General features: G+C 38.8%; 1 protein-coding gene and 1 long non-coding RNA gene across 5 annotated transcripts in view, besides 3 other annotated features; both read left to right on the top strand.

Moving 5' to 3' along the window:
• Positions 1-18,935, top strand: part of NR6A1 (nuclear receptor subfamily 6 group A member 1) — a 254,037-nt gene that overhangs the window by 39,795 nt on the left and 195,307 nt on the right. The gene's annotated exons all lie outside the window — the stretch shown is intronic.
• Positions 2,602-3,101: an enhancer, noted in NCBI's record as "H3K4me1 hESC enhancer chr9:127490695-127491194 (GRCh37/hg19 assembly coordinates)". NCBI's record gives its function as "activates a minimal SCP1, AML or CMV promoter by ChIP-STARR-seq in naive H9 embryonic stem cells {active_cell/tissue: H9 hESC(naive)}" and the evidence as "EXISTENCE:reporter gene assay evidence [ECO:0000049][PMID:30033119]".
• Positions 3,102-3,603: an enhancer, noted in NCBI's record as "H3K4me1 hESC enhancer chr9:127490193-127490694 (GRCh37/hg19 assembly coordinates)". NCBI's record gives its function as "activates a minimal SCP1, AML or CMV promoter by ChIP-STARR-seq in naive H9 embryonic stem cells {active_cell/tissue: H9 hESC(naive)}" and the evidence as "EXISTENCE:reporter gene assay evidence [ECO:0000049][PMID:30033119]".
• Positions 3,780-18,183, top strand: LOC124902269 (uncharacterized). The gene is made up of 2 exons (XR_007061772.1): positions 3,780-13,734; positions 17,682-18,183. It is a non-coding gene; the product is annotated as an uncharacterized LOC124902269 (long non-coding RNA).
• Positions 10,044-10,553: an enhancer, noted in NCBI's record as "OCT4-NANOG hESC enhancer chr9:127483243-127483752 (GRCh37/hg19 assembly coordinates)". NCBI's record gives its function as "activates a minimal SCP1, AML or CMV promoter by ChIP-STARR-seq in primed H9 embryonic stem cells {active_cell/tissue: H9 hESC(primed)}" and the evidence as "EXISTENCE:reporter gene assay evidence [ECO:0000049][PMID:30033119]".

Raw genomic sequence — 18,935 nt, 5'->3', positions numbered from 1 at the left:
GTAGAAGTGGACCTGTGTAGTTGAAACGTGTTATTCGAGGTCCAGCTGTGTTTTCTGTTCTCTTATGAGTAGCCTTTGCTTAGGGGAGGAAAAGATAAATTCAGTTATTTTTCTGGAGTCATGGTCCTTTCTTTTTTTTTTTTTTTCGAGATGGAGTTTCGCTCTGTCACCCAGGCTGGAGTGCAGTGGCACGATGTCAGCTCACTGCAACCTCTGACTCCCGGGTTCAAGTGATTCTTCTGCATCAGCCTCCGGAGTAGCTGGGACTACAGGCGTGCGCAACCATGGCTGGCTAATTTTTGTATTTTTAGTAGAGACGGGGTTTCACCATATTGGTCAGGTTTGTCTCAAACTCCTGACCTTGTGATCCGCCTGCCTTGGCCTCCCAAAGTGCTAGGATTACAGGCGTGAACCACTGCACCTGGCCATGGTCCTTTCTTAGAAGCATTTTTGAACACTAGGAAGGACATTGAGATGCCCTGTAACCTTTCAGACAACTACACATAAAACATGCTAGATAGTTGATAACTCAGTTTGTTAAGCACTGAGTGTTCTCTCTGCTCCACACCCAGTTCTCTAGACTCTAGGGATACACAGATAAATAAGTATAGCTCTTGTTCTTGTATGTTATCAGTGTGTTAGGAAATATTTGAAAGGACATTTTATAAACCTCTAGTTTAGCATTTAGTACCCAAATGTATTCTCTTTTTCTGCACCTAGTAGCAATTGAAAATGGTTAATGCCCATTTTCTGAGAAAGGTCCTTGATATTCTCAGAAAAATTATTGTTGAATTCTTCTTTCTGGGTTAAGTAATACCAGCTCATTAAACATTTCTTCATAAAATTCCTAGCTAGATATGGCAATTTATAGACCTCTCTATTCCATGAGAATGAACAGACATTGAGACATAATTTTATACATCAGTATAGAATAGGAGTCACCAAAAAAAAAAAAAAAAAAGACTAAAAAATTGTACTTACTGGCAGGGCATGATGGCTCATGCCTGTAATTCCAGCACTTTGGGAGGCCAAAGCGGGAGGATCATTTGAGCCCAGGATCAGGAGTTTGAGACCAGCCTGGGCAACATAGGGAGCCCCGTCTCTGCAAAGAAAATTTAAAAATTATCCAGGTGTGGTGGCATGTGCTTGTGGTCCCACCTACTTGAGAAGGTGAGGTGGGAGGATTGCTTAAGGAGGAGGAGGCTGCAGTTGAGCCATGATCACACCACTGCATTCCAGCCTAGGTGACACAGAGCAAGACCCTGTCTCAAAAACAAACCAAAAAATTTGTACTTAGCGTATGTGGGTAATATTCTCAGTAATTTCTATATTGGGAAGTTAGTAGTAGTTTAATCTTTCTCTTTGAAGAAATACATAAGGATCTGATTATTCTAGAAATAATTAGGCCAGGCGTGGTGGCTCACGCCTGTAATCCCAGCACTTCGGGAGGCTGAGGCAGGCGGATCACCCGAGGTCAGGAGTTCAAGACCAGCCTGACCAATATTGAGAAACCCCATCTCTACTAAAAAAACAAAATTAGCTGGGTTGTGGTGGCGCATGCCTGTAATCCCAGCTACTCGGGAGGCTGAGGCAGGAGAATTGCTTGAACCTGGGAGGTGGAGGTTGCGGTAAGCCGAGATCGTGCCATTGCACTCCAGCCTGGGCAACAAGAGCGAGACTCCGTCTCAAAAAAAAAAAAAAAAAATTAGACAAAATAAAATTTTATTTCAGTTTGTACCAGTTTTGGGGTTCAAATGAGCATGTTCAGCCCTACCAAGTGATAGGAAGCATCAAGACTGAGATGGGCTATGTGTGTTGTGTTAAATTGGCTGTGGTTTTTGATACTGCATATTCTGGGAATTCTGACTGGGAAAGAATAACATCTCCTATGTTAATTCCATTTGACTTTTGTTTATTTAATTTAATTTTTTTTGAGACAGGGTCTTACTCTTTTGTCCAAGCTGTAGTGCAGTGGCATAGTCATGGCTCACTGCAGTCTTGACCTCATGGGCTCAGGTGATCCTTCCACCTCAGTTTCCTGAGTAGCTGTGACTACATGTGCACACCACATGCCTGGCTAACTTTTGTATTTTTTTTCTCTTTCAAATATTTTTTATTGAAATGATAAAAAAAAGAACAGTGATCATTTTAACCGAACTTTTACTTTACAAATATAAAAATATAATCAAAACTTGTTTCTTTCATACATTTTCCATAAACATACCAGAAAAGTTCTCATAGCCAAACTGTAAATGATGCTTATATACTATGATGTGAACACAATAAACAAAAATTTAAATTTCCAAATACGTGACCTTTCCCTCAATAGAACAGCATAATCAATATATCTTCCCAACTTATCTCTATTTTTATGATACGATCCATCACTAAAATAGAAAATACACCTAAACTGGCTTAATCTAGACTTATCTAGGTTTTAGTAAGTTTTTTTCCCACTAAACAAGCTTAATAAATATAATACAAGCTAATATTAAAATGTGTTTTATGGCTCAAGTCAAATTACAATATTAAGTTTCTCATCACGTATTTGAACAACAAAGGCAAACTGCTTGAAATGAGTCCAGTTTAACCCAAATAATCAGTGATGGATAACAAGTGGAGTAAGTATAAGAAAATCAAATCTTATGCTACAGAAAGGTGACTTATACTACAGTCAACAACCACTAAGCCTTCTTTGGCAATGAAACATACAAAATTGCAAACTCTGAAGCAGTCTTAGTGATTGGTGCATACTCTTCCAAACCCTGTGAACTAGTAAAAACATTAAGTTTGAGGATGGAAAAACTACCCCAAGCATTTTCTCTCAAGTGACTGAGCAAGTACTTTATTTATTTATTTATTTATTTATTTATTTATTTTTTGAGGCGGAGTCTCGCTCTGTCACCCAGGCTAGAGTGCAGTGGTGCCATCTCGGCTCACTGCAAACTCTGCCTCCCGGGTTCAAGCGATTCTCCTGCCTCAGCCTCCCGAGTAGCTGGGATTACAGGCGCCTGCCACTGCGCCCAGCTAATTTTTCTGTTTTTTAGTAGAGATGGGGTTTCACCATCTTGGCCACGCTGGTCTTGAACTCCTGACCTCATGATCCACCTGCCTCAGCCTCCCAAAGTGCTTGGATTACAGGCGTGAGCCACCGTGCCTGGCCGCAAGTACTTTAAAAATGAAGTCATGGCTGGGCGCGGTGGCTCATGCCTGTAATCCCAGCATTTTGGGAGGCCAAGGTGGGTGGATCACGAGGTCAGGAGATCCAGACCATCCCAGCTAACACAGTGAAACCCCGTCTCTACTAAAAATACAAAAAAAAATTAGCCAGGTGTGGTGGTAGGCACCTGTAGTCCCAGATACTCGGGAGGCTGAGGCAGGAGAATGGTGTGAACCCGGGAGGCAGAGCTTGCAGTGAGCTGAGATCATGCCACTGCACTCCAGCCTGGGTGACAGAGTGAGACTATGTCTCAAGAAAAAAATAAATAAATACAAAAATAAAAATAAAAATAAAAAATAAAAATGAAGTCATTAGGCCAGGCATGGTGGCTCATACCTGTAATCCTAGTACTGTGGGAGGCTGAGGTGGGCAGATCATGAGGTCAGGAGATCGAGACCATCCTGGCTAACATGGTGAAACCCCGTCTCTACTAAAATGCAAAAAATAAACTGGCCATGGTGGCACATGCCTATAATCTCAGTTACTTGGGAGGCTGAGGCAGGAGAATCGCTTGAACCTGGGAGGCAGAGGTTGCAGTGAACCAAGATCGTGCCACTGCACTCCAGCCTGGGTGACAGAGCGAGACCCTGTATTAAAAATAAATAAATAAATAAAGTCATTAAAAAGCGGAGAGCATAAGAGTCACAATATTTAAGAAAGCGAATTTTAAGCCAATTGCTTGCTGGCCTGCTGAATTTGAAGTACTTCTATCTCTCACTTCTGATTAAACATGGAAGAAAACAGACTGGCTAATTTGGTTATACTTTGTCCAAATACAATGTTAACGTAATGGAACCCTTAAATATCCAAAATAATAACTGAATGCTAGTTATAATACAATAATAAAAAGTTTAAAAATCTTCCAAATGTGCTGTTAACAGTACAAATTCAAGTACAGAATTATTATGCCATTTTAAGTATTATCTACTTTATAAAAAAATCACAGTGGTCTTCATCACATGGCAAAAAAACAAATTTCACTCTTCTCCAAAGGAGTAAGGCCATCCTAAATGTAACTACAAACAATTGTGTAAAACTTTTTGGGTTTTTTCCCACAAGCTACTAAACATTTTCCATTGCACTATACTTGAATTACTCAGGGAAAATAAGATGACATATGTTGTAGTTTTGCAGTGCAAAAAAGAGCTTTCATTTTAGACGAATGGACAACATAGGAGGCACTAAAAAATACAGGTCTATTAATCAAGAGCCCATTTAAAAATGATTCAGCATTTAGTATGTAGATCTGGAATGCAGAGTTTCTGGAAGTATAAGAACTTACATATCAAAAGAGCTTAGTGTTAAACTGTGCCCTTATACCCTCTTCTAATATTGTAGACACCTGCCAGATTTGATTTCCCCTAGTTCTATTATTTCCATCAGAAAACCAAAAACAGATTATTGGGATCCACCTGTAACTGACCAGAGCAAAAAGTTTTTAACACTTGTTGGTGTGTTACGAATTTTACATTCAAAACCAGATCTCTTACATTCCAAGGTTAGTAACCCAGCCATCCTGAATCAAAGGTTTTTCTCAACTAGGCTTTAGTGTATGGATGACTGGCTCATGTATTTACTGTATATTGGGAAGAAGTGAAGAAGTGAGAAGAAGTGAAGAATTTCTTGGTCAAAGCTTAAGTTACAAAGAACATGAGTGGTCTCGAATTAGATGCCTCTTCAACTCAAACACTCCTTACTGAGAGGACTTTATAAAACAAGCAAAAAGTCTACCTCTCTCCACCCTCCCCAAATTGCAAAAGTGAAAATCTGAAATGTGGCCGATGTAGCTTTTCACTAAGAAGCAATCATGGAACGTGAGCTGAATCAATCCATCTTCATCTCCACTTCCTCCAATCTAAAGGTTTTGCTCCCCAATATAAAGGAATAGCTGAAGGATGCAGCTAACCGATGAACTTACCAGCAAAATACATTACATGAGAAATATGCTAATGTAGGCTAGAGGTGCAGGACAGTTAGGGGCAGGAGGGAGAAGGACAATTCACAGAACTAGTGGCTTTTTCAAAGGATTTTAGGGGACATTTTTGGTCATGGAGACTGGTGCTCACCTACCACTAAGGACATACACAGTTACAGTCACTACTTAACAACGATGTGAGGGTTTGACATGACCCCAACTAAAAAAACTTGAGTGTTTATGAATGTAATTACTGAGCTATACTTGGCCTGATTTCCTCAAGTATGATATGCCTTTGACATCACCCAATATTCAGGAAATTTTGCCCTGTGATTGGTACCATAAAAATGTAAGAACTAATCAAAAGTTCATTTCTGTTAAAAACCCTTCTTTTCCCTTAAGTAGCTACATCTGGCAAGATTCTCATTTACATTAAGCCTGTAGTCAACAAGTCTGTTACAAGGCATACACACTATACTTTGATCATTAAATAATGACACAACCAGCAAACTCCTTTGGTCTAACATTTTTTATTCCCTCAAATTTGATCCGAATTTGTCAGTATTTTAAAAAGTTTTTAAAATTTGGTATTTTTCTCTTAAGTTGACTAGAGACGAATTTTTGCCATGCTCTCCAGGCTGGTCTCAAACTCCTGGGCTCAAGTGATCCTCCTGCCTTGGTCTCCCAAAGTGCTGGGATTACCAGGCCGAGCCCCGCATGACTTTTGAGGATATTACAGATTTCCTTGTGTTGTATCTTTGGAATTTGGAGGCCCAAATATTGCCCCCCATTCCCCAGATTCCTGATAGGAAAGCCTGCTCACACTCCCTTATTTTGGAACAGGAAATACTTCGTTGCTAATTTCCAGTTGTGCATGGCAGTGGTTGTAGGCAGCAGGTTTGGGACAGCAGGTGTCATGTGGGAACTAGTTGAGGAAAGACTGACTTTGTCCAATTAAATGGCTTGGCTTTTTTTTTTTCTTTTTTTTTAAATACCTTTAGTGTGATAAAGCAGATGGGCAGCCATGCTCAGAATATGGGCAGCTGTTCACACTCTGGCTGCCTTCCTATGATTCCTGGACTTCCTGGAGTCCAATGTTATGGCACAGGTTCAGGCTAAGTTCATTTCTACAAGAAGTGTCCCTGTACCATGTCCATTAGCATAAGCTAGGGACAAGGGCAGTCAAAGGTCAAGAGAAGTTCAAAACAGCATAACCTTTCTGTGCTTCTGTTTCCAAATAACCCCTGTCTGCCCTGCTCCCCGAGTTTTTTCCTCGGCCGTCGTGTTTACCGTGTAGCTGTAAAACTCAAGAGAACAAGGACCGACTTGATACAAGGGAAGTTAGAGAATAGAAGTCATTGTTGCTTAAAACAGGAGAAATAATTGATTTATGTTTGGGGGCCAGTTAGGCTATAAAACAGGAACAGTAAAGGGACCTGTGACTTCAGGACTTGCTCTGATTTCTGTCCCATAGACAAGGGGCTTCCCAATAAAGGCTGTCAGCTTTCTAGGCTAAATTATTAATTCCTTTCATGCCTCTCAGGGATTGTAAACAGCACATAATAAAGGGAAACAGTTGATAGTGTTCGGTTACTGGCCAGATAGAGGGTCAAAGGGTAAATAGTTGGATTAGCAACAGCTGTTCTTCCTCGCCAAACTTTTTGTCTCTTATTATCTATTTCAGAAATACTGTTCCTGAATTTTTGGCTTACATATAATGAAGTCCATTTCTCCTCTTGTAACATAATCCTACAAGTAATTACACTGAGAGTAAACATTGACCAAAATTGAAAGTACTTACTTTAATTCAGTTTCCAAAGTTGAAGATTGAATTTTTTTTTTTTTTTGGTATGTGCTATGTTGTCTGATGTTCAAAGGATATAATCCCAAGGAAAGTACCTGCTTGAAGTTAGACATATTAGAAGCTTTTTAGCTGTGTGGTTTTTTTTTTTCTCTTTTTTTACCAGCTGGTTGAGGATCTTGGTGTAGCTTGATTAAAAGAAAAAAACATTGTTTTTGTTTAAACTGGTAGTAGAATAATGTATGGTTCACTATGGAAAACACTAAAAGAAAATAGAAGCATCTCTAATCCCACCACCTAGAAATAACCATTGCTTCACGTTTGAGAGTATGTCCTTCCAGGTTGTGTCCGAGCTCATCTTTTACATAATTAGGAATCTATACTATATATGCAATTTTTGTATCCTGTTTGTTTTCCCCCACTCTGTATTACATTGGGAACATTGTCCCAAGTCATGAAACGATTTTCACAAATGTTTTTAACGGAAGGATATTTCATTAAATAAGTAAATAGCTTTATCATGATTTATTTAACCATCCTCCTATTGTTGAGCATTTAGATTTTCAGTTTTTTCTGCATCATAAATAATGCCACAGTGAACACGTTTGTGTATAAATTTTTTGTCTGCATTTCGAATGAGTGCTTTAGTTTTTTTATGCAAGCCAAAGCTGCTCTTATAATTAAGAACATAGACTCTGGCTCAAGATTGCTTGGATTCAACTTGGCTTCACTGTAATCTTGGTTAAATTACTTAAACTCTCTGCCTTCCTTTTCTCATCTATGAAATGAGGACAGTAAAATGTATTTTTATTTTATTGGGTTGCTGTGAGGATTAAGTGAATGTAATATATTTAAAGTTTGGAATAGTGCTTGACAAATGGTAAATACTATTAAGTGTATACTGTTCTAGGCTATGTAGTATAATGTTGAAATTCTCAGTCTTTCTGCACTAATGGGCTGTTGAAACTGTTTTATTCAATTAAGCTGGCCTGTGTTTCTTAATGACACAAAGGTGTTGGCAGGTGTAAGTTACTGCTTCAAGTAAATAGTTCAGATGAGATTGGGCGTGTTCAGAGTGTATGACCATAGACTCAATTAAATAGTTCAGTCACAGGAATAGAAGAGCTCATATGCTGCTGACTCTTTTGGTCGGGACTTCTTTACCATCTCAGTGACTGTTAGGGTGTTTTGGTCCTCTTCCCCAGCCAATAGCAGGTAACCTCCCAAATGACCATCTGCCAACACATTTAACCTCTTAGGAGACTGAACATGTTAACCTTCTGCTTATTTAAAACAGATACTCGAATTACACACTTTCTTTTTGGTCAATAGCAAGGTCTTACAGAAAGCATACTGAAGAAAAAGTTTGTAGAATTTAAAATCTGACTATTACCATGGATTCCTGTTTACTCAGACTTTAAAAAATAAAGTATATTCTAATGATCAAGGACCTATATAAATGATATAGCATATATATAATGTGTATAATAAATAGTATGTATTAATATATAGTATATGTCACTATATGTAATATAGTGTGTATGTATATATATTTATATGAGTATTTTAAAAGAGACTTGAAAGTTAAGTGCTGGGTGTGGTGGGTCACACCTGTAATCCTAGCACTTTGGGAGGCCAAGGTGGACAGATTATTTTGAGCCTAGGAGTTTGAGACCAGCCTGGACAACATGATGAAACCCCGACTCTAGGCGTGTACCTGTAGTCCCAGTTACTTGGGAGGCTGAGGTGGGAGGATCACCTGAGGCCCTGGAGGTTGAGGCTGCACTGAACCAAGAGATTGCACCACTGCATTCTAGCCTGGGTGTCGGGAGTGAGACCCTGTCTCAGAAAAAACGTAAATTAAATTTTGGTATATCTTGCCATATTGGTAGATGCCCACCAAGGAGAGTTCTACATGTGTTGGTGGGATGAACAGGCAAGATGAAAAAAACAAGATAAAAAATAGGCAAGATAAAAAGAAAGCCTGGCACCACGAACTTGCTCTGGCTTTGCATTCAACTGTCACGTGACTTGGGATCCCAAAGATATTTTTTTGTGGATTCTTCCAGCTACAAAAGAGAAATGTGTACATCTCAGCTAGCGTACCCTAAAATTCCAGTATTCTGTCACATGTTCTAATGGATTTATTCCTAGTTGTCAAACTATGTGTCACAATTTTTGGTCTCAGAAAGTAGTTTATATAAGCCCAAATGTCTGCAGAGAGTGAACTTAAGACTGAATGTTACAGATGAAGGAAGAAAAGGAAATTACCATTTACTTGTGTATTTGGTATTCCTTGTGTGCCAGGCACTTTGCGTATATTCAGTAAGTGTGAGAAGGATTATAGCATATAAAATGATCTGATTTTAAGTTTGACTTGGTAATACTTAGTTCATTTAACGCACTTATTGTTCTTTTCTCCCTCCCTACTTTGGGTGCCAAGCTGAGACATAGTTCTTGCCCAGAAAGGACTCTGGTTTAATCAGGAAGGCAGACACAAAATATGATGTGGCTTTTACCACATAATAGTAAGGATAGCTAATATTTACTATGCACAGAATGTTTCACATGCATTTTTTATTAAGCATTCATAAGATTTGTTTAAAAAGATACAATCCCCATCTTACAGATGAGAACTATGAGGCCTGAAGAGATTAAATGACTCACCCCAAAGTACCTAGTGAAGTATCTGAGACTTCAGAGCCCCTGCTTTATTAAATAATTAATTTCTATCCTGTCTCTAGCTGTCTTGATTGTGACAGATCTCAAATGCTGATGGTGGAAGACTTTAAGGCAGTGTAATGATTTATAACATATATAATCAGGGTTTTTGTGTAAAAGAATGAAGACTATTTTTGAAGTGTCATCTGGGCCTCTTCTGCGTGTATTAGGGTGGTTTTGGACACAAAGTAGAATGATTCATTGTGGAATAGGTTCCCGAGTTGTCTTCTGTGGCTCAGATTCAGGATTATTCCACTATTTTTCAAGTGAGTTCTTTCCTGAAGCAACTTAAGATAGTTCACAAATCTCCCTTGTTTCCTCCCTTTATGTCCCTTTTTCTCTGCAACACTGTTAGTGATTTTGCTATGTCACATTCATAACAGTTCCGAGTGCCTGCTTCCAAAGCTTCAGTTGATTCTGTGGCATTGCTGCTAGATCAAGCCTTCTGAATGTGGCCTTTTGCTGAGGAGTTCCCTTCTGATAAGGATTGTTTTGATCAGGGTAGGGGTGGTATGAGATCCAGAGCTTAGGGTGAACTCTCATCCCCTTGACCTCTGCCCCTATTTGAGTTTATACTGACTTGGTAGGGACTCCCTATGGAGCCGAGAGTTTAGCACTTGTTTACAGTTGATGAAAAGATAGTTGCATTCAAAGGCGGTTGTTGGGTCCTTGGATAGTCTTGGATGTCTGCCACTATCTCTGGTGGGTGAAGGGATTGCTTGAATATCTAAGTCTGGAGATTTTAATGAATGACTAAGAAGGAATGAGAAGAAATTCTGAGGCTAGTTAGGTTCTGCAGTTGTTCTTTCCATGGGAGCAATATTGCAGTAACATTTTCAGATGAGACAAAGACTTTTAATAAACATTTGTTTTATTTTATTAAAAAAAAGCTGAAAGGGGTTGCTTAAATTCAGTGCTTGATAACAAGGGAATACATGGGAATTCTTCTCTTCCTTTTTTGAACTCTTGCCAAAGAGAAAACCTTCTGTGTTAGGCAAACGTATCAGTAGTGGGGGGATACCCTAGATTAAAGTCACTGTCTTCAAAGTTGTACATAGTTTTACAAATTAACTTTTTTTTTCTAAATATCTCACATATTCTTAGCATGCTGAGGCTATAATAACTCAGTTCTAACTGAGGCCCTTTCTGGGTACTCTTTGGTCAACCGGGACCACTCTTTGCCTCTTTACCTGAAGCTACTTTGTTTTTGTTTTATTTTGGTCCAGTATTTGTCATAGATATGATCTGAAAGAAAAGATAAGCCTCTCTCTTTGAAGAGAGCCGACAGTCATTGTGAACCAAAATTGAATGTGCTTTGTTGGTAAGCATAAGAAAATCAAAACTGCAAAATAAGATTCAAAGTGAAAATACAGTGTTAAAGATCTTTTTCATCTGTTAGTACAAAATTCCATGTCCTAAGTGTAGTCTGCCCTATAGATGTATTTTGTTTGACTTCCAGGATGTTTAAATAAAATCATGTTAGTTGTCAACATTTAAAATGTTCAAGATGGCCGGGCGTGGTGGCTCGCGCCTGTAATCCTAGCACTTTGGGAGGCTGAGGTGGGTGGATCACCTGAGGTCAGGAGTTCGAGACCAGCCTGGCCAACATGGTGAAACCCCATCTCCACTAAAAATACAAAATTACCTGGACGTGGTGGCGCATGCTTGTAATCCCAGCTACTTGGGAGGCTGATGGAGGCAGGAGAATTGCTTGAACCCTGGAGGTGGAGGCCGCAGTGAGCTGAGATTGCGTCATTGCACTCTAGCCTGGGTGACAAGAGCAAAACTGCATTTCAAAAAAACCCAAAAACGTTCAAGAGTTTCAAAAAACTTTGGATTTCTGGCTTTCTTGATAAATTGTAATATCTAACATTGAGCTCAGATTTTTATATGGCATCTCTTGGCTGGAACAGAGTAGTGGCTGCCTTCTTTATATGGATTGGGGACACGGTCTTTTGTCACCCAGGCTGGAGTGCAATGGTGCGATCATGGCTCACTGCAGCCTCGACCTCCTGGGCTCAAGCAGTTCTTCTCACCTCAGTCTCCCGAGTGGCTGGGACTATAGGCGCGCATTACCGCGGTGGGCTAATCTTTGTGTTTTTTTGTAGAGGTGGGGTTTCACCAGGTTGCTCAGGCTGGTTTCCAACTCCTAGACTCAAGCAATCCGCGCACCTCGGCTTCCCAGAGTGCTGAGATTACAGGTGTGAGCCACTGTGCTCAGCCTGCTGCCTTCTTTAAATGAGCGTATACTCTTAGGTTTTCACAGAACCTTGGTGGCCTCCTTTACCCATTTACGTTTCCTGCTAGTCTTCTGTAGGCATTTGAGTTTTCAGCTCCTACATTAAATAATTTTTAGGGATGATGAGAGTGTGGGAAAATGGGAACTCTTAAAAATGTAATCTGATACCTATTAAAACTGATAATGTGCAGGTTAATTTTTCAGACTTGGCAGTTTAAAATTTAAAAATATAAAATTTAAAATTACAGGCCAGGTGAGAGGTAGCTCACTCCTGTCATCCCAGCACTTTGTGGATCCCTTGAGCTCAGGTGTTTGAGACCAGCCTGGGCAACATGGCAAAACCTCATCTCTACAAAATATACAAAAATTAGCTGGGTGTGGCGGCACATGTCTGTAGTCCCAGCTACTTGGGAGGATCACTTGGTCCTGGGAGGTCGAGGCTACAGTGAGTTGTGATCGCACCACTGCACTCCAGCCTGGGCAACAGAGTGAGACCCTGTCTCCACCCTCCCCGCCACAAAAGAAAACTTAGATTGAACAATTCATACGTCTAGGAATTTATCCTAAATACTTGACAGTTATGAAAAATGTATGTTTACAGATGCTTCTTTTAGCATTTATAATAGTAAAAAAAATTGGATAACCAGGCGTGCTGGTGCATGCCTGTCATCCCAGCTACTGGGGATGCTGAGGTGGGAGGATCGCTTGAGCCCAGGAGGTGGAGGCTGCAGTGAGCCAAGATCGCGCCACTGTACTCCAGCCTGGGCAGCAGAACGAGACCCTGTCTTTAAAAAAAAAAAAAAAAAAAAAAAAAAAAGGTAACAATTTAAGTTTAATAGGGGACTCGATAAATGGATTGTGGTTATTCATGCAGTAGGATGCTGTAGACTTAAGGAGAAGGCAAATTTTTAGTCTGGAAGGTGATCCAATTTTAATAGTGGTGTTTTTGGGAAAATGAGATTACAGGGTATCTTTCATTATCTCTGAGTTTTCTGTTTTTAAGAACATCACATTATTAAGAAAAAAGACATGCATTTAAAAAATTCTCTCTCATTTTAGCTGCCAGATTTCCATGGCTATTCTGCCAAATTGAGCCAATAGGTTCTAGCTTCCACTTAAAGCACAGATTTTACATTCAGAATTCTGTTATCTTGAAATTGTTCTAAGGAAGGGGGAATCAGAGTCCTCAAGTAGCAGGAACCATCTTTGAAGTCTGAGAATAAAGTAAAAGACTTCTACAGCATTTTCAGGCTTCTACTTGCAACCCTGCTTCCATTCACTAGTAAAGCCATCAGAATTTGCCTCCTTTTCAGTGTCAGGCTTGAGGCTTGAGCCAGCACTATTGATAATGGAGGGAGCTTCTTATATAAATTGGGCTATCCTGACAGTTGCAGGGATACCTGCTGAAAGCGACCCTAATGAAATGCATGGGTGCATGGTACAGTGGAAAAAACATGAGTGAAAGTTAGCATCCTGGCCTTCCTGCTTTCTTGCTGAGTAGCATAGGCAACGTGTGAAGCTCAGTTTGTTCATCTTTGAAACAGTAGTAATTCTTGTTAAATGTTGTTTTAAAAAATAATGAGATAATATACATGAATTGCCCAGCAGTTAGCTGCTCTAGTCCTGCATGTTTCTCTTTTGTGGAAATACAAGACAAAAGGTTTCTAATTTCTTTTTGTTAATATTTGATGAGCATTTACTGTATGTTAATGACTTTAAAACATTTATCTCATTTACTCTTCCTGGCAGCTCTACAAGGTTATTCTCAACTCTTGTTCTGCCCCATTTTACAGATGAGGAAACTGACAGTTTAACACTTGGCCAAGGTCACACAGCTGGTAAGTGGCAGAGATGAACCCTGTGTGATCCCAAAGTCCATGTCCTTATCTTTTTAAAATTGAGGCGTGACTTACATGCAATGAAACGCATAGATCTAAAGTGTTAAGGTTAAGCATTTTTATAAATGTGTGCACCCTAGTAATCCACATTCTATCAAGATACAGAACATTTCCATCCCTTCAGAAAATTCCCTTTTACTTTTCCCAGTCCATCCCACTACTTACCCCAAAAAGCAATAACTTCTGGTTTCCATCATGATAGATTAGTTTTGCCTGTTTTCTAAAATGTCATGTATATATGGTCATACAATATGTGCTCTTTCGTGCTTGTTTCAGCATGATGTTTGAGACTCATCTATGTGTTGCTGGTGTTAGTAGTTCATTTCTTTTTATTGTTGAGGAGTATTCCTTTGACCGTACCATAGTTTATTTACCTGTTGATACCTGGGCTGCTTCTAATTTTTGGTTATTATGAATAAAGCAGCTATAAAATTTCTTGTATAAGGTTTTTATGGACCTGTGTTTTTATTTCTCTTAGTCATACATCTAGGAATTACTGGGTGATATGGTATATGTTAAACTTTTTATGAAATTTCCGAACAGATTTCCCAGATGTTCATACATCTTAGTTCCAGTAGTATATGAGTTTCAGTTTCACATCTTTGCAAGCATTTGTTATTGCTAGTTTTTAAAATTTTAGTCACTCTAGTGAGCATTGTAATAGGATTGATGTGGTTTAAACTTGCATTTCTTGATGACTAATAATATTGGTCACGTTTTCATGTACTTATTGGTCATTCATGTGTCATCTCTTAAAAGTGTTCAAATCTTTTGGTAAATTCATGTGGCTGAGTGCAGTGGCTCACGCCTGTAATATCAACACTTGGAGAGGCCAAGGCAGGTGGATTGCTTGAGCCCAGGAGTTCGAGACCAGTGTGGGCAAGGCAACATGGCGAAACCCCGTCTCTACTAAAAATACAAAAATTAGCTGGGTGTGGTGGTGCCTGCCTGTAATCCCAGCTACTCAGGAGGCTGTGGCACAAGAATTGCTTGAACCTGAAAGGTGGAGGTTGCAGTGAGCCAAGATTGCACCACTGCATTGCAGCCTGGATGACAGAACGGGACTTGGTCTCAAAAAACATAAATAAATAAAAAAGAAATTCATGTGTTTTGTTCAACTGTCGAGTGGTGGGTGTTTGTTATTCTACATATAACATATAAGTCCGTCAGATATGTGTTGTAAATATTTTCTCCTAGTCTGTGGCTCCTTTTTACTTTTTAACATGTTTTGTGAGGAACAGAACTTTAAAATTTTTATGAAGTCCAATTTATTAATTTATGATTAACATTTTCTGTGCCCTCTCTACAAATCTTGGCCTAACCTGAGATTGCAGAGATATGCTATATTTTCTACTAGAAACAGTATTATTTTAGCTTTTACATCTATGTCTATAATAATGGATCTCAAATTTGTTTTTTCTGTATTATGAGGTAGGAATGAAAGTCTTTTTAATATGAATATTCATTTGTTTGGCACCATTTGTTGAAAAGGCTTTCTTCATTACATTTTATTTTTTTGAGACAGGGCCTCACTCTGCTGCCCAGGCTGGAGTACAGTAGCATGACCATGGCCCACTGCAGCCTCCTCTTCCTGGGGCCCAAGCAATCCTCCTGCCTCAGCCTCCCAAGTAGCTGGGACCACAGGTGCACAACCACCATGCCAGGCTAATTTTTAAATTTTTGGTAGAGACAGGGTTTCACTGTGTTGGTCAGGCTGGTCTCGAACTCCTGGCCTCAAGTAATCCTCCTGCCTCGGCCTCCCAAAGTGTTGGGATTTTAGGCATGAGCCACTGCACCTAGCTGTTGAATATTTTGATGCTCTTGCTGAAAAATAATTGTGAGTCTATTTATAGACCCTATATTCCCTTCTATTAATCTTTTTACCAATACCATAGTGTCTTGATTACTATAACTTTATAACAGATCTTGAAATCAGATAGAAGTAGTCCTCCAACTCCATCCTTCTTTTTCAAAGTTGTTTTGATTATTTGGCTATTGTAGTGTTTTTTTTTCTCCCCACTTCCGTATAAATTTCAGAATTAGCATATCAACTTTCTTTTTTCTTTTTTTAACAAAACTTGCTGAGATTTTGATTGAATTGTATTGACTCTGTCCATTTGGGAAGAGTGGTCAACTTAATAATATTGGGTTGCTTTTAAATTTTTTAAAATTTTATTTTGTTTTTTAGAGACTAGGTCTCACTCTGTTACTGAGGCTGGAGTACAGTGGTGCAATCCATAGCTCACTGCAGCCTCAAACTCCTGGTCTCAAGGGATTCTCTTGGCCTAGCCTCCAGAGTAGCTGGGACTACAGGTACTCACTGCTACATCTGGCCAATTTTCTAAAAATATATATATATTTTTGTAGAGACGGGGTCTCACTATGTTGTCCAGGCTGGTCTTAAATTTAGGGCCACAAGCTACCCTCTCACCTCAGCCTCCCAAAGCACTGAGTTTACAGGTGTGAGCCACCATACCCAGTCAATAATATTGAGTCTTGAGTCTTCTTTTTTTTTTTTTTCTGAGACGAAGTCTCACTCACTCTGTCACCAGGCTGGAATGCAGTGGCATGGTCTCGGCTCACTGCAACCTCTGCCTCCTGGGTTCAAGCGATTCTCCTGCCTCAGCCTCCCGAGTAGCTGGGACTACAGGTGTGCACCACCATGCCAAGCTAGTTTTTTTATTTTTAGTAGTGATGGGGTTTTACCATGTTGGTCAGGATGGTGTCGATCTCTTGACCTTGTGAACTGCCCGCCTCGGCCTCCGAAAGTGCTGGGATTACAGGCATGAGTCACCGTGCCCAGCCAATGTTGAGTCTTCTAATCTACGAAGTCAGTGTATCTTTCTCCTTATTTAGGTCATCTTTCTTTTTTCTTGTTAGTGTTTTAAAAAGTTTAGTGTTGAGATCTTATACATCTTTATCCTTAAGTATTTTGTTTTTTAATGTTATAGTAAATGATATTATTTTTAAATTTTATTTTCCAATTGTTGCTAGTATATATAAATGCAGTTGATTTTTATGTATTTGTATCTTGTGACATTGTTAAATTTGTTAGTTCTAGTAACTTTAAAAAATAAATTTCTTGGGACTTTTTATGTGTACATCTGTGAATAAAGAGAGTTTACTTCTTCCTTTTTGATGTTTATGACTTATTTATTTTTCTTATTGCACTGGCTAAGATTTCCAGTACAATGATAGATAGAAATGGTGAGAGTGATGTTCTCACCTTGTTCTTAATCTTAGGGGGAAGGAGTTCAATTTCAGTATCAAGTATGATGACACCTCTATTGGGCTTTCTTTTATTTTGTAGAGTTCTGGTAAAATATACATGACGTAGCATTTACCATCTTAACCATATTTAAATGTGCTGGTCAGTGGCATTAAGTACATTCACACTGGTTGTGCAGCTATCACCAGCATCCATCCACATAACTCTTCTCATATTGCAAAACTGAAGCTCTGTACCCATTAACAATAACCATTCTCCCCTGCTCCTGGTAACCACCATTCTACTTTTTGTCTCTATGAATTTGTCTACTCTAGGTACCTCATTTAAGTGGAATCATACAGTTTTGTCCTTTTGTAACTGGCTTATTTCCCTTAGCATAATGTGCCTAAAGTTTATCTATGTTGTATAGTGTTAGAATTTCCTTCATTTTTGAGGCTGAATAAGATTGCATTGTATGTATATACCACATTTTGTTGATCCATTCACCTATTGATGGACACTTGGGTTGCTTTCACCATTTGGTTATTGTGAATAATGCTGCTGTAAACATGAGTATACATGGATGTCTCTCTTCAAGTCCCTACTTTCAATTCTTTGGGGTGTATACCTGGAAGTGGAATTGCTGGACCCTATGGTAATTCTGTTTTTAATTTTTCAGGAATCACCATACTGTTTTCCATAGCTGCCGCCCCACTTTACGTTCTCATCAGCAGTGCTCTAGGGTTCCAATTTCTCCACATCCTCACCAACACTTATTTACTGTGTTTTTGATAGTAGCTCTCCTAATGGTTGTGAGACAATATCTCATTGTGGCTTTGATTTGCATTTCCCTAATGATTAGTGATATTGAGCATCTTTTCATGTGCTTATTGACCATTTGTGTGTCTTCTTTGGAGAAATGTTTATTGAGGTCTTTTGCCTATTTAATTGGATTCTTTATGGGTTTTTGTTTCAGTTATACGAGTTCTTTCTGTGTTCTGTATATTAATCTCTTAACAGATACATGATTTGCAAATATTTTCATCCATTCTGCAGGTTGCTTTTTCATTCTGTTGTGTCCGTCGATGCACAAAAGTTTTACATTTTCATGTTATCGAGCAGTTTTTTCTTTTGTTGCCTATGCTTTTTGTATCATATCCAATAAACCATTGCCAAACCCATTGTCATGAAGCTATCTCCTGTTTTTTTTTTCTAAAAGTTTTATAGTTTAGGGCTTATGTTTAAGTCTTTGATCGATTTTGAGTTAATTTTTGTGTATGGTATAAAGGTAAAGGCCAGCTTCATTTTTTTCTCATGTGGATATTATTTTATCAGTACCATGTGATTATTCTTTCTCCATTGAGTGGTCTTGGTAACCTTGACAAAAATTGTTTGACCATATATATGAGGGTTTAGTACTGGGCTCCCTATTTTATTCCATTGGTCTATGTCTGTCATTATGGTAATACCAGACTGTTTTGATTACTGTAGCTTTGTAGTAAATTTTGAAATCAGGAAGCTGTAGGGTTTTTGTAGATGCCCTTTATCAACTTGAGAAAATGCTGTTGCTAGTTTGCTAAGAGTTTTTTTTATCATGAGTGGTGTTGTTTTCAGATTAATAATTAATTACTAATCTGTAAATCAGTTATGTTTTCATACCAATTCTCCATCTAGATTGTTTAGACTTAATATGGTGAATTACACTGATTGAATTTTGAAACTCAGGCTAGCCTTTTAATGCTGAAATAGACCTCATGTGGTCAGTGATGTATTATAATTTTCCAGTGTTGCTGAATTCAACTTGGTAATATTTTGTTAATGGATTTTTGTGATTATGTGTAGAAGAGCCAAAACCTATGTTTTAATCTTGGTGCCATACTGCCTTCAAAAGACTTTTTTTTTTTTTTGAGACAGGGTCTTGTTCTGTCGCCCA

This window comes from Homo sapiens, chromosome 9 (genome assembly GCF_000001405.40).
Source record: "Homo sapiens chromosome 9, GRCh38.p14 Primary Assembly".
NCBI classification, from domain to species: domain Eukaryota; kingdom Metazoa; phylum Chordata; class Mammalia; order Primates; family Hominidae; genus Homo; species Homo sapiens.
This window is presented reverse-complemented; position numbering and strand designations above follow the sequence as displayed.